Raw genomic sequence first — 15,677 nt, 5'->3', positions numbered from 1 at the left:
ATAAATCAAGAAGGTAAATCTTACAAAATGTTTACAAAAATTACATGAGGTATGTAATTTGGATGGGGAATTGATGCATTTTGACATTTGCTTTTGCTCTTTATTTTTATTCATTTATCTAATTTGTTAATTTTATTTACTTTATTTACCATTGTTTTTACACATGTTTTCTTTGTCTGCCTCTTGGCTGTTATCTATTGTCTTCAGGCAAAGCCCACGTGGCGTGGCTGAGGATGTTGCCCCCACTAAGTTGCTGGTTGCAGCAGCTACTAGAAGAGCCAGTAGACTCGTCATCTGGTCAGACTATTTGCTATGTTCAAATGGACACTGCCTGTCTTTCACTGTCTTTTTCTCTAAAGAAAACATTAAATTTACTGAAAACTTGAGATTTAGAAAGGTTGGAAAGGCTACATAACACAGGACTTTAGATTTGGTGGTTGCATATGGTACATGCAAAAGGCTGCTTAATTATGAAATAATGCCAGAGTGCTACTTGAACCATTTTTTCCTGGAAGGAAACTTCAAATAAATGTCAAAAAGTTATCAATTATTGAATGCAAATTCCATGAGTTCACCTGGGTGTGTGTGGTATCCTTTAAGGAATAATATTCAAAAAAGAAGCAGTGGGCTTTGAAGGTCTCCTTTTACTTTCGTTTTAGTTTACTAAGACACTGTGTCTTTTAGGTTCATTCCTAAGTTTCCTTTGCTGCATTTTTCTTTGTAGCATTATCATCAATCCACCCAGATTGAGGCATGAGGTCTATGTTTACAAAGTACTAATGCCTTCATTTGGGCTCCCAATCTTTCTTTCTGATCTTCATACCTGCTGTTACAGACAAAGTCCAGCTCTTTAAACAATAGAGTTTCAGACAAACATCTGTCTCCCCTCAGAAGCATTTCTTCACAGTCCAGATAGTCAGGAAGCCATTAAATTCCAAATCCAAGGTTTCTTCCCAGGACAAAGCATGAAGCCAGAATCTCAAATCTATAGTCTGTTCACATTTTCAAATGAACATGGTTGCCTTTTAAGGAGAGGCTAGTGCCTCTGAAAAACTTCACTTAAGAATTAATTGCATATATGAATCAAAAACAGACTAATCAACAAGTAAATGTTGAATTTTTCATAGGCTTTTGGCAATTGTTATTATAATAGACATTAAAAGACAAATGCATCTATCAGTCCATTTAAATCAGTGTTATTATCCATATTGACTTACAAATATTAAACACATCTTCCTGTAAAACATAATAACATACCCTGTTTTAGAACTTTTTGAAGGTCCACGTGCAGCTGAAGAAATGTTCGTTAATGCTTCTGGTACTTATCCAGATTTGAGCCAATAAAAGTTAGCTTATTTATAAACAATGGTCCCCAAAACTTGCCTTTCCGGAATTACAAATTCTACAATGAATCATCTGTATTGTCTGATATATTTTCTAAATTTAGGATGCAATTCATTATCTAAATCCTTGCATATTTCAAGACTTCTGCCCTTAGTTCTTTAGTGTGTAAATATAAAATAAAAAGTCCCTAAATGCAAAGCACAATGTAACATGATAGAAACCTCTTTGTGTTAGAAAATTACATGTCAGAACTGGGTAATCTATAATACCAATTAACCAGCAATGATAATTATAAGTTCTTAAGAGCTAGCAGATTTGTTGCTCTTTCTTAGAGATGATTTTTTTCATGTGCTTTTGACATTTTTCCCCTTACCTTATTTTGTAAAGTCCGCTTTGTGAAAGACACAAGACTATTGATAACAATAGATGTTTTAGGAATTGGCAAACTTTTAAATCCTAGATGGAATGGCAGAATAGCCCCTCAAGGAGGGAATGGACTTTATTTATTCTTGGTGAGTTCCGAATGCACAAAAATAAAGGGCTTGCCAGTTGCCAGTGGGAAGTGAACATAATTATGACTTCACAGCTGCTTTTCCTAAAGTAAAAGGAGAGAAAAAAGGAAGAGTCATACTTTTTTTGTACTGTATCTAAAAAGAATATGCACAAAGGGAATATATTTATGCCAGATATAAGAAGCCATAATCAAAGTAATACTGTACTACCAAACTTATGCCAAGAAATTCAGAAATCTTGACTTGGCGGACTGTAAATCAGAGATATGCATCTATAGCACTCTAGTAATTAGAGCAATGTATGGAAAATTGAGGTCCTCAAATATATTCCCAATAGCTTGTTTCCCCTGATGAAAGTGGAGTGATCTTTCAGCAAAATCGTCATCATCTACTATACTGGTTTGACATTTGCAAAGCTCTGTTCAGATAATTCAAAACTTGGTGGATCTGACTCTATAGTGTGTGGTCTTAAGAAATGGCTTTTGGAAAGTTTTGTTTGGGAACTTGAAAATTAAACTGCATACATGCTATGAGATACTCAAGGTAACCAGTTACATCTGCCAGGGCTGATATATTGTTTAATGTAGAACAGTTGTTGACAAATTTTTATGTAAATAGTGAAGTTGTAAATATTTTAGACTTTGCGGGCCATATTGTCTCTATCCCAGCTATTCGACTATGCCATTGTAGCATGAAAGCAGCCTAGACAATATTTAAATGAGCAAGCAAGACTGTATTTGAATAAAACCTTACTTACAAAAACAGACAGCAGTTGGATTTGGTTCTAGACCATCGTTTGCAGACTCTTGATCTAGAAATTTCTAGTCATAAAGCTGGACTTGCAAAAGCCAAATAGTTATCGGAATCTTTATCAAAACGGAGGTCTTTTTTTAATGCCAATAGAGCTTTTAAGGATAATTTAAACATATGGATATTTTCCTCAAGATGTTTTGTCAATTAGTAGTGGAGAGGAGGACACCAGCAAAGAGCAGTCCTTTATCAAAAACACTGCAAAAATACTTTGGTTACTTGCTTCCTTACAAAATCATTATATCAAGCAACTGCATGCAGGAACTTAGATTGAACACAAAGCTCCAAATATTTTTATCTCTATTGATCCCTAGCAGATGTAACAGAAAGAAAAGATGAACAGTCAACCTGATTTCAATATAGATATTTTGTGGCAGCAAGAAAGGAGATGCCAGTTGAATCACAATTAATTGTGAATCTGCTTGAGGCAGCCTCATGAAAAAAAATAATCTTTTAGTCTGCCTCCTACATTCAGAGGCTACCTCAGTCTTCTGAAGAAATGTTAAATTATCTGAGGGATAACTCTAGGTGAGTCAAGGGTGATACCTTTCCCTGGGTCTTCCAGTAATCTGCCATTGACCTCTGTATGCCACTTAACTTCTATTTGATCTATTTCCCAATTTATAAAATAAAGGAGAATAAAGAGATGTCTGTAAAGTGGTTTAAAAGCCCAAGTGAAAGGCCATCTGAAACACAGGATGGCTGAATTTCAAAGAGTCAGGAGGACACTTCGGCTATTGAGAATACATTTTAAATCACATAAGTGGACACAGTAATATTCTTGTGAATGCCACATTACTCAGCAGTATTCCAGAGGGTCAAATAGATAAGGAGGACATGAAAGATTAATATTCAAGTTAAGCCTTTTAATTAAAATAGATATGAGAAAAATATATAGAAGGAATGAGTTTTGAATTGAAAGTTGTTATTTTGTGATGTCAACATAGGTACATAGACAAAAATTCACCTAGACATTTTTCAAAGGCGCTTTTGTATATAATCGAGGTACTCCAGTTTTTTATTTTTATAATATGTTTTAGTTACTTTTAGTCTTACTGTAGTTTTATATAGTTCTCTTTCTATTGTTATAAGACCCAAACTTGAACATTTTTAGCAATCCAGATCATGCTATAAAGTTAATGTCATAGAAACAGCATAAGGTGGTAGACTTGTGCTGGGCTCAGTGTTAGAATCTTTGCTTTCTCTGGCTTTATTTTTTCCACTAGTAGGGGCAATAATAAGAAGCTTGCAATTCTTTTAGGAGATTAAATGAGTATTGAATGACAAAGTAAGTGCTTAACGCTTATAGATGTTGAGCAGTCAAGACTCAAATTTGAGTTTGAAGGATGCTGATTCTGAGATACTCAGGCTTGGCTTGGTTGATTTCTCTAATAGGAGAGAGAAAAGGTATAACTAATTGCAGTTTTCCCAACGAAGGGAGCATTGACATGACAATTTTCACTGTGTGTTAATGTTCTTATTGCAAAGTATTTAACATTTTTGTCCCCATCCCCAAATGCCAGTAGCCCCCTGCTGTGGTCAAAGAATATTCTTTCATTTTTTTAAATATAGTCAGCCCTCTGTATCCCTTGGTTCCACATGACAGGTTCAAACAACCATGGCTTGAAAATATTCAAAAATTTCGCATCTATATGAACATGTATAGACTTCTTGTTTCTTATCATTATTCCATAAACAATACAGTGTAACAGATATTTACATGGAAATTACATTGTATTAGGTATTAAAAGTAATCTAGAGATGCTTTAAAGGAAAGGGGAGAACCTACATACAGGTTATATGCAAATATACACACAGGTTTGTAGGTTATATGCAAATACTACACCTTTTTTATGTTGGGGACTTGAGCAACCATGGATTTTGGTATCCAAGGGAGGTCCTGGAACCATGCCTTGATTGATACCAAGGGATAACTGTTACCTCTTTAGGAGGGGTCAATACAAAAACTGGATGACCATCTAAAACACTTGTGAATTCAGGGGGCAAAATATTATTTTGGCATTGGAAAAACACCAAAACATGCTGGCATACCTGAACTCTCCTCAATGACCTGGGATCTGCTTAGAGACTAGGGCAGAGATTAAGATGGGAAATTTTATAAATTAAAGTCAATACTCAAAAATAACTAATGATCAAAAGGATCCACTTGCCCCACTGCCACTCACACCCCCACCTGGTTCAGCAACATAGAGCCATGGCAAAATGGTCACACGTCCCTATATCTCACCAATGACAGAGACTCAAAGGAAGCCTGGCAGCTTAGGGCTGGTGACAGGCTATCAGAGTTGGAGGGCCCATCATTTGCTGGTTGACTTTAGATAAGCTTCTTTACAAACGAGGTGTACATAGGAAGTTGTGGGCCAGAATCAAAAGGAAGTTCTGTTGCTCTATGCAGAGAGGTGTGTTGTTTATCAAAGGAGAAGAAGAGAAGGAGGGACAATCGGATTTAGAAGATTATTTAATTGTATACAACAACTGTAGAAGTATTGAAGTTTTTGTCCCATTTAATAGATGGTAAAAATAAGATGGTTTTACCATCATTCTCAGCAAACTATCACAGGGACAAAAAACCAAACACCGCATGTTCTCACTTATAGGTGAGAATTAAACAATGAGAACACTTGGACACAGGAAGGGGAACATCACACACCGGGGCCTGTCATGGGGTGGGGGGAGGGGGGAGGGATAGCATTAGGAGATATACCTAATGTAAATGACGAGTTAATGGGTGCAGCACACCAACATGGCACATGTATACATATGTAACAAACCTGCACGTTGTGCACATGTACCCTAGAACTTAAAGTATAATAAAAAGAAATAGGATGGTTTTAGTGCTCATACTGCTTCAGGGTGGGTACGGCGGAAGCTTTGATTAAGAATTTATGAATAAATTTTTCTTTCACCTGATTATTTTGATTCTACTATGAATAAGCTGAGAATTGCTTCGGAGAATCTGTGCAGGCTGCCTTGAAACAGAAATACAAGACTGATTGGTCTAGGGAAAAATATGCCAGCTGCCTATACTAACAGCACCCATTCATTGGGATTTTAGTGTGCACAATGTTATTGTGTAACTGAGTCTTTATTATAAGAATCATAAGATGTTTGTTTTACTTAGTTTTCTCTTTTCCTTGCCTTTTTCTGCCTCCATGCGTGCTTGCTTGCACATAGTCATTTTGGTAGAAGGTAGTCACTAGTAACTTCATATCCTTATACCCCTGGCCTGCAAGATTGATAAACTGTATTTTTTTTGGAGAAGAAAAATGAATCTTAGGTCACACAAACCTTGATGGCATCCAGAAGTTTGATCAGGCCAAGAGACATAAACAGCTTTGGTCTTTGGGGTATCCCATTTCCTGTATACCTACCTGACTCATAGAAGCCCCCAATTATGTGTAAAGGAAGGTTAGACTTTAGAGACTGTCTTTCCTGCCCTCTCACTTTGGCCAAATTGAATAAACATTTATGCTGATGTGTCAGTGTTTGGCTTACTGTGCATCAGGTATGTGAACCTAAATTTTGATGTTAGATAACAATTATCCAAAGCATTTTGTATACTTTGTCCTTTTACTCTGCACAATAAATCCATAAGGTTTGTATTTTCATTATAATCTCCGTCTTCAGATGAAGACATAGAACTTGTGAAGTCAAGTATCTTATTGAAATCACAGAGTCAATAAGAGAAAGAAGCTGGAATCAGACCGGGGCTCCTTACTCGGGGCTCATACCTAGCCTGGTGGGAGTGCTAAGGAAGGAGGGCAGAAAGGCAAGTCCCATGCAAGCAGAGGAGAGTGATTCCAGGATGGATCAATTGGTACCCATAGGACTTCTTGAGTTGCTGAATGCAGAGGCCTTGAGAAGCCCACAGTTTCTAGATTATGTACATGCCCAGACCCAGTGGATATCTATTTAGTTTTAATTAAAACCCTCCCTTCTCCAGAAAGGGAATGTGAGTCTGTGTCACCCACAATAGGACAAATCAACAGATGAGATTATCTGCATGGCCCTTTAAGGAACCTTCCCTACCTCCCTACTCTGTTACACTCTACCTACAAGATGAGACTTTCAAAGGAACATCATTTCCCCTTGACTCAGACTGATAAAAAAAATTTGACTCCTAGTCACCAGGAAACAAGAAGTCTCCTCCACAGTCTTTTGACCTTTTGTTGCTCCAAGAAGGACCACATGTCACTGCTTTGCCACTTGAGGCCATTAAACCCATTTCGCTCCTTTATATAACTGCTAAACATAGACGCTGAAATGAAGAAATACAGCCTAAATAAAGACACCAATAACAGCTTGCAGGAAGTAGTAAAAACAGTTTTGCAGAAGGTTAGGAGCCAAGGCTTTTTCCACTGTCAGCTTTAAAGGTGTTCTCTTTGACCAGCCACAAGGCTACTTCACCACCGGTATGAAATTAGAAATTTTGAAGACTATTGCACACAATTTTCACAGTGGATCAGCCAGAGGTTGTTAAGCAAAGAGAATGCTGAAGCCATAATATACTGAGATGACAGAGGCGGCTCATGAGTATTCCTGCTTCCATGCTCTGTGGGCCAGCCACAGCAGCAGCCACTGTTTATGGCATCCCTGACTTGGATATGTGGTTTGTGCCTGTTGAGGGAGTGCTAAGAGGAGAAATCTACAGAAAAGCCGTGAACTAGGTGGTTGAGCCAAGTGGGCCAAATAGACAAGAGCTTCAGATGCAGGAAATTCCCTTCCAAAGGCAGGTGATAATGGGCTCTGACTTCTTGTCAAATTACCCATCAATCGGGGCTTTAACACCAAGCTAGTACAGCATGGTGGTCAAGCCCAGGACTTCTGCAGATAAGTAGAGCTCAATCTAATCTGACTCTGTATGGACCAATGGTGTGGCCATTGGAAAATCACTTTAGCTCACTAAGGCATAGTTTCCTATTCTGTAAATTGGAATTAACATTAGTACTTACTATCTAGGGTTGCTATGAAGACTAAATACTTAACACAATGTCTAGGCCATAGTAAATGCTTCATTCATGGGAGTCATCGTTATTGAGAAGCTTTCTATGTGCACATCACTGTTCAGAGAACTGGGTACATATTAAAGTAAAAAGCATGTGGTTTAGTCCTAGGATGCATATAATCTAGCTGGATTGACAAGAAGTGTACATGCAGAGAAAAGTTAAATAATATAAAGTAGCATACAACAAAATGTTAATTGTGCAGCATGGATGATAAGTGCTTTATTCATTTATTCATTCATTAGTAAAACACACACCGAAGACTTCCTGTTTTGAAGCAATGTGATAAGTACAGAGAAGGGTAGGAGAGCTTAATCTCATAGGAATTATTGCATGAAAAGTACTATTGTTATCTTATCTTGAAATTTGCTTATGGGAAAACTGAGACTTAGACACAAAAAAGGAGCATACCGAAGTTCTCACTAGTAGTAAGTTAACAAGGTTGGGATTGCAACCCAGACCTGCCTGACCCCAAAGCTCATGATTTTGTAGAGCAGTTGTTAAGAGAATAGAATCTACAGCCAGAGAATCTGGGCTCAATCCTGACACTGCCAATCATTAGTTTTGTGATCTTGGTTAAGTTACTTAAATTCTCTAGACCAGAGTGTCCTCATCTGTAAAGTGAAGGTAGAATATTAGTATCTACTTCATGTGGGTTTTGTGATGATTAAATGAGTTAATCTATTTAAAAACATATCAGTGCCTGGAACACTATCAGCACTGTAAATATAAACTCTTATTATTTTAATAGTGAACACTGTAATTATTACTATCTTAACTGAGCTATGGTATGTGAAATGTTTAGAACATTGGTACATAATAAGCATGCAGTAATTAGCTGTAATAATAATTATAATTATAAAGAGAAGGGTAGTCAAGGCGGGCTACTTTATATCAGGGACTTGAGCAGCCACTGATTTTGGTATCTGCAGGACATCTTGATTCACAGTCGAATCAAAATAAATAATAATAACAATAGTTATTATTATGACCTAATGAGTTACACTGCCCCTGATTGGTTTCCTTGCCTTCAGTCAAAATTGTCCTTTTCTGCTCCTAAACTTCCAAACTATTTCACTCCTGTCAATGGTATCATAATACCCCCATAACACAACATTATTTAAAGAATTACTGTTTTCATTATCTTCAATAGATAACGAAAGAAATCCTAGGATTAGAACGGGCCTTCGTTTAATTCTAAATCGTGGTGCTATTATGATAATTAATCTATGATTACATGTAAACCACTATAGGACACAGTATATGCTCAATAAAGTTAGTTATTGTTGGTATAATCAGTTCATATACTTTATTTCAATATGTCACAGAGAACAAGTCCTATCACTTTTCCTTTAGAACACATAATTCTATCTCTCTACAAACCCTAGCTGAAATCCTTGGGTGCCAGGCTTTCTATTAGGTGTAGTTCATCCTGTGTACCACTGCTGTTATCTTCAACACTGCTTAGACTAAGAAAACCACCAAGATTTTCTATTTTCCAACACCAACATGTCAGACACTTCTCTCCAATGGCTAACTCAATCTTCTCGGACTTCTTTTACTGCTCATAGGGCCACCATTCTGGTCGAAATTGTCCCCTCATTATTACAATGCCTTTTGTCTTATGTTGACGTTGGACTACACTCACATGCTTTCCCATTCCTTACCTGGGAGCCTTTGATTTCACGCTCTACTGACTCAAATCTGCCTCTTCTTCAAAGCTAACGTCATGTATCACCTTTTGCCTAAAGCCTGTCCTAATTAACTCCCTTCAGCCCTTCCCTTCTCTGAAACCCTATAACCCTTGAATCTTCTATGCCTAATGCAGATATGATACAGGGATACGTTATAAAGAGGTTTAATACATGGCCTCCTGAGTGATATTACCTGAATTCTAACATAGCTCTGCCTCATCTTAGGGCTGGGACTTGGGCTTCAGTTTCTTCATCTGTCAAATGGACATAACAAGAGCACCTATCTCATAGTATTATTTGTGATACTTAAATGACATAAACCATGCAAAGCACTTAGCATAGTAGTTGATGTGTGATAATCATTCAACATGTTAGCTATTATGATGTGGTTGTTATGATGAGCACTCACCACCTGTTTGTTGAATGAATGAATTAAACTATTGATTTCCACACAGCTTTATAGTCTCCATGTTTAGAGGAATAAAATAGATTGTACAAGATATCTGAAAATCCCAAAGGGATGCATAGTTACATTTACCTTTAGAATGTTGCCAGTCTTTGATGTCACAGAACACACAGTCTGATGGTTTAAATGCTCTCCTCCTCAAATTCTGTTTTTTTTTCTCTCCCACCCATCCTTATTGCCAACCACCCCTTAGTTGATAAGTGGAGAAAGGAAGAGGGTTATGAAGATTTCAGGTCACTGCAGATGAAACATACAAAGACAAACCCAGGGCTTCCCATATTATATTGAATATAGAGAATGCCTTAGGGGAACTCTAAGAAGCTTGAAGTCATTTTCCCTTTAGAAATCATAAAGAGGTCAGTGATTTATAATTCAGAAGAACAATGGACAGGAAAAGTTCTCTACCTGCCCGTGCAAGCAACGACTGTCTTGCGAGGCTTTCTAATGTAGTCAGAGCTTCAAGGTAGTTAACAGCCCTTTTTCCCTAACTGCCTGCTACGCTTTATCCTAGAGGCACTTCTGCTCTTCTCTGATTCCTTTTGGCTTAAAAAATTATTTTTTCTGCCATTCTCATTTCTCCTCTGCAATCCTGTCTTTCTCTCTTTTTCTCTTTAGTGGTCTGACTTTGGTGCTGACCCCACCGTGCCCTCTCAAGGGCACTTAGCAGAGCTGTTGTCTCAGGCTCGGGTGTGCTCCCCATCCTCTGACTGGTAATAGAACAAAGGACAAAAGGCCATCTCTCCAAGTCACAATATCTCTTTATTGAAGCTTTGTTCTGCTGCTTTGAGCCTTTTCTCTCTGATTCACTGGACTTGCATTTGAGCAACTTTCCCATTTCTCTCTTTTCTATTACCTCCCAATTCTAGAATGACTAGGTTAGACTCACTGTTTTCTTGTTTCTCATTTCCAATAAATTCTTCGACACACTATTAACATTTGAAGGTTATATCAGAAGATGGAAAAATCAAATGAATGCCAATATTCTTTCCTGGGTCCCCTGCTCTCTGGCTTGGCAACTGAAATCCTGGGTCCTGCATTTTCCCTCCTGAACCACCTCCAAGGTTGGCCTTCAGAGCTCTTAGGACTAGACTGGCTGGTGGAGGGACTGGTGCTCTCAAAGGGCCTTTCTTCTTAACAAATCCTCCCTTGCTTGAATGGGATCTAGAAGCAGATTTGGAGGCTTGTGGAAATGGGGCCCATCAACATTCCAGCATGTATCCTATTACCATTTCAGGCATTCTTTGTGGCTCCATCGTTCTGTTTCTAAGTCTCATTACTTCGTTTGTCCTTTAGCAAATATATCCCTGGTCTACCACATACCTCCTCCTCTCCATTTTTACTGCCACTGCCTTAATTCAAGTGCTATTTGTTGAAGAAGTGTTCCACCAATACTTGTGTTAGTTTCCTTGGGCTGTCATATAAAAAGTACCATAAGCTGAAATTTATTCTCTCACAGTTCTGAAGGCTAGAACTCAGAAAAGCTGTTGACAGGGTCTTGCTTCCTCTAAAGGCTCTGCGGGAGAACCTGTTCTGTGCCCTTCTCTTAGCAGTGGTGTTGGTGACAGTCCTTCATGTTCTCTGGTCTGTAGCTGTGTAACCCCATTCTCTACCTTCATTGTTATGTGGCATTCTTCTCCCCGTTTCTCCGTCTTTTCCTTTTTTTATAAGGAAAACAGTCATATTGAATTAGGGCCCACCTTAATGAACCCATCTTAACTAGATTTCATCTGCAAAGATCCTATTTCCAAATGAAGTCATATTCACAGGTACCAAAAATAGGGCTTCAACATATCTCCTGGGAGGACACCATTCAACCCATCACAAAACCCTCATAGATCTCCCTGCCACCCATATTTTCCTTCTCTAATGCACCCTCTTTATACCATCCAGTCAGCTTTCTAAAATACTTATCAGATTATTTACACTTGAATTTAAAAATTATCTGCCAACTTGCCATTTCTTTTAGACGAAATCTTTAGAATTGCATTTCAGGTCCTTTTCATTTTAGGTACTTCCCATGTTCCTTTCCAGCACATCCTGTCATCCACTCTCGTGCATCTGGCAGGGTATGACTTGCTCATTATGTTAGAATGTTCAAGTCCTTGTGTATATTTTTGCTTTTTTTCACCTAAGCCCCATTCTCTTTTAAAATGAATAACCCATCCTAGATTTTTTTATAACCCTTTGTTTATTCCATTTTCTTATTTATTCTGAATTTCTCAATGCCTGGTACCTATTATCTGCAAATAAATGATATTGAATAAATGACTTCAGAAAGGAATAAGCAATTTGATAATATTACAAATAGTTTTTTCTTCATCATGATCTTCATAAGTTCTAAAAACTTCATAGTTATTTGTCAATGTAAATACTTTTTTCAAATATTTATAGCTTAATAGCTAAAAGGCAGGTTTTGGAAACTGCCTGGTTCACTTAGAAGTTACGAGATTTTTTTCAGCCCTTTATTTGACCTTCTTGTCCTTCAATGTCTTAATCTGTTAGATGGGAACATGAATTCCTAATTAACAGAGTTATTAGAATAAAATGTATTAGATAAAAGAACAATCCTTAGGGTAGTGACTGATATAAATTAAATGGTTAATATTTATTTGTCATATTGTCTTTATAACTATTATATTTATAATATAGTTATTATATTTATATTTATATATTATTATATAAATATAAATATATAATATAAATATAACTATTATATAACATATTTATAAATATAAATATAATAGTATATAATATTGTAAATATAGTATAATAGTAATATTTATTATATTTAATAAATATAATTATTAAGACATATAATACTATTATATATCTTTTTAAAAACATTTATTTTAAGTTCTTAAATTAATTGTTATTTTAAACCACATGATCACCTGTTTTTCTAGTTAATTATCTACAGGCTACAAATACATTTTATATCGCCATTCTCAATTATAATTGAGAATATAATATATCATTGTCTCTCTCCAACCACCCCCCGATTAAAGTATTGAATTTATTTTATAACCCAGGTGAATCCTATGAGACACAGGTAGATAAAGTTGGCCTTGATATGTGGCATTGGATTTAAGAATAATAGCTGTGCTGGGCGCGGTGGCTCACTCCTGTAATCCCAGCACTTTGGAAGGCTGCGGTGGGTGGATCATAAGATCAGGAGATTGAGAGCATCCTGACTAATTCTGTGAAACCCCATTTCTACTAAAAATACAAAAAATTAGCCAGGCCTGGTGGCACGTGACTGTAGTCCCAGCTACTCAGGAGGCTGAGGCAGGAGAATCGCTTGAACCCGGGAGGCGGAGCTTGCAGTGAGCCGAGGTGGCACCACCGCACTGTAGCCTGGGCGACAGAGCAAGACTCTGTCTCAAAAAAAAGAAAAAAGAATAATAGCTGTAACATGCTCTTTTTAACAATACTGTTTGGTAACTGTTCTTTTTGGATGGGAAGCTAATAACAGCTACTCATGTTACACTGTCTGGCATATGACTATGAAAGACACTACACCAATAGAGGACAATCTAGGAATGTGTTCTTATGTGACTATAAACTTTCATTCATGAACCACTTTCACTCATGATTGCCATAGAGTGGATTCTCAACAAGTTGTAAATCTCTGTAATAATAATAATAATTCTGAAAGCAACTTGAAAACAAAGTAATAATGGATGATGTTGACTCTCTTCCTAAATAAGCACATGTGCCTTCTGAGGCTGTAAATAGAACTTATAAATTATATGGATGGACTCTATGGAAAAATTGTGCATGACCATATAGGTAGTACTCCTTCTTAGGAGGAAAAAAACAAAAAGCTGCATTCACGTAGAAGATAAGATTCTGTATCTAATTTCAACAGCATTTAACATGGGGCTCATTTTGGTCTTCCCAAAAAAAGAGGAGGCAGGAACTAAAAATTTGATCTTACAGTCTCTCTTTCTCTCTCTTTCTTCTTTGATGTACATTAGTTCCCATGGAAACTACATTGGGATGGCTTGAGAGTGACATCTACAAATGCAGTGTAAGGTCATTTTTATCTAATGCTTTGAAATTTAAACCATGATTTGTGATATATAGTGAAACCTCCTTAACATATTCTGAAAGACTATGAAAAGACAATATTCTGAATGCAAAAACAAGACATGTGACTGCATTATGCCAGGTCTCAGAAAGTTCAGCATTGCGATTTGCATAGAAAAACAGAAAGAGCTTCATTTTTCAGTTTGCCTCCAGGAGAGTCCTGGCAATGCAGTTGGCCTCCTTAATATGGAAGGAAGAAAACCCTTCCTTCTACCTCCTTCCTTGGCGTGATCTCGGCTCACTGCAACCTCTGCCTCCTCGGTTCAAGCGATTCTCCTATCTCAGCCTCCCAACCCAGTAGCTGGGATGATGGGCACGTGCCACCACCATGCTCGGCTAATTTTTGTATCATTAGTAGAGACAGGGTTTCGCCATGTTGGCCAGGCTGGTCTCGAACTGCTGACCTCAGCTGATCCGCCTGCCTAGGCCTCCCAAAGTGCTGGGATTACAGGCGTACCATGCTGGCTTTTTTTTGTTGCTGTTTTTTTGAGATGAAGTCTCATTTTATTGCCCAGTCTGGAGTGCCATGGTGTGATCGCAGCTCACTGCAACCTGTGCCACCCGGGTTCAAGTGATTCTCCTGCCTCAGCCTCCCAAGTAGCTGGAATTACAGCCATGTGCCACCATGCCCAGCTAATTTTTGTATTTTTAGTAGAGATGGAGTTTCACCATGTTGGCCAGGCTGGTCTTGAACTCCTGACCTCAGATGATCCGCCTACCTCGGCCTCCCAAAGTGCTGGGATTGCAGCCGTGAGCCACCATGCCCAGCCTCCTTCCTTGTTGCTGGATCCAGTGAGGCCACCAGGTAAGGGACAAGGGTTTAAGGCTTTAAATGCTGCAATAAGTAACTGCATGTGGACTGTGATAAAGCTGCAGGGGTTTTCTTGCTTCTACGGTTCCTACCAGCACTCTTGGCCTGCCTTTCTTAGATGTGATTTCCTTTATTAATTTGCCAGTGTTTCACCTATAAATTCCAGGTATATTTGAAGGGAGATATATTTCTAAAGGAAGAAACTGAAGCCTTGGGCTCAAAATGACTTGAGGTTTAATGGAATATGATCAGCTTAGGCTTCTAATGTACTCTCCAGCGAAGAAAAGTGTAGATGCTGAGCAGGGAGATATGGATTCAAATCTTGACTCATTTAATTTCTAACTATGTGTCTTTAGCAAGTCAAAACTTTTCTAAGCCTTAATATACTGATCTGAAGAATGCTGTCAAATTTTAAATGGGTGAGCATGTGAAAAGGGAATAATTTATAAGAAGTGTTTAGTACTAGTTACATGCTGGGATCTCAATACAGTTGTGTTGCGTAAATGAACTTTGTTTATATGTAACTTTGTTCTCATCAAAATCCTTTATATGGAAAGCTGTGAAAATAACTATCGCTTATCTTGTATCATAGTTAAATGTGGGTCAAATGGCTATCTCTCCAGTTTACGGTCACCATCTGTAATATGTGGGCTGTAAGATCAGTTTTGGCAGCAAAAGTGAGGGCCGGAGGAGGCACCTGGGTTGCTGCCTCACCTCCATTCTGGCTACATTGGCCTAACTGCAAGTTTAGGCTTCGAGATGCCAGCTAATATGTCAATGATTGGTACACACTAACTCTCTCTTCCCCACTTAAAAAAATGTTTAATAAATCTCATTGTTTAAAACTGATGATTGTAATAACAAAGAGAATCATCAAGCAAGCACATTTGAAAAAATGGCTGATGTTTCTGATGACATTCTTGTGTG

General features: G+C 37.7%; 1 long non-coding RNA gene across 1 annotated transcript; it reads right to left on the bottom strand.

The window, feature by feature from the left end:
• Window positions 1-1,825: 1,825 nt before the first annotated feature.
• On the bottom strand, window positions 1,826-10,543 carry LINC01712 (long intergenic non-protein coding RNA 1712). Its single transcript, NR_146478.1, has 2 exons — window positions 9,923-10,543; window positions 1,826-1,939 (listed from the first exon to the last, which is right to left on the bottom strand). It is a non-coding gene; the product is annotated as a long intergenic non-protein coding RNA 1712 (long non-coding RNA).
• Between the last annotated feature and the right edge of the window lie 5,134 nt (window positions 10,544-15,677).

The sequence above is a fragment of the Homo sapiens genome, chromosome 1 (genome assembly GCF_000001405.40).
Source record: "Homo sapiens chromosome 1, GRCh38.p14 Primary Assembly".
NCBI classification, from domain to species: Eukaryota; Metazoa; Chordata; class Mammalia; order Primates; family Hominidae; genus Homo; species Homo sapiens.
This window is presented reverse-complemented; position numbering and strand designations above follow the sequence as displayed.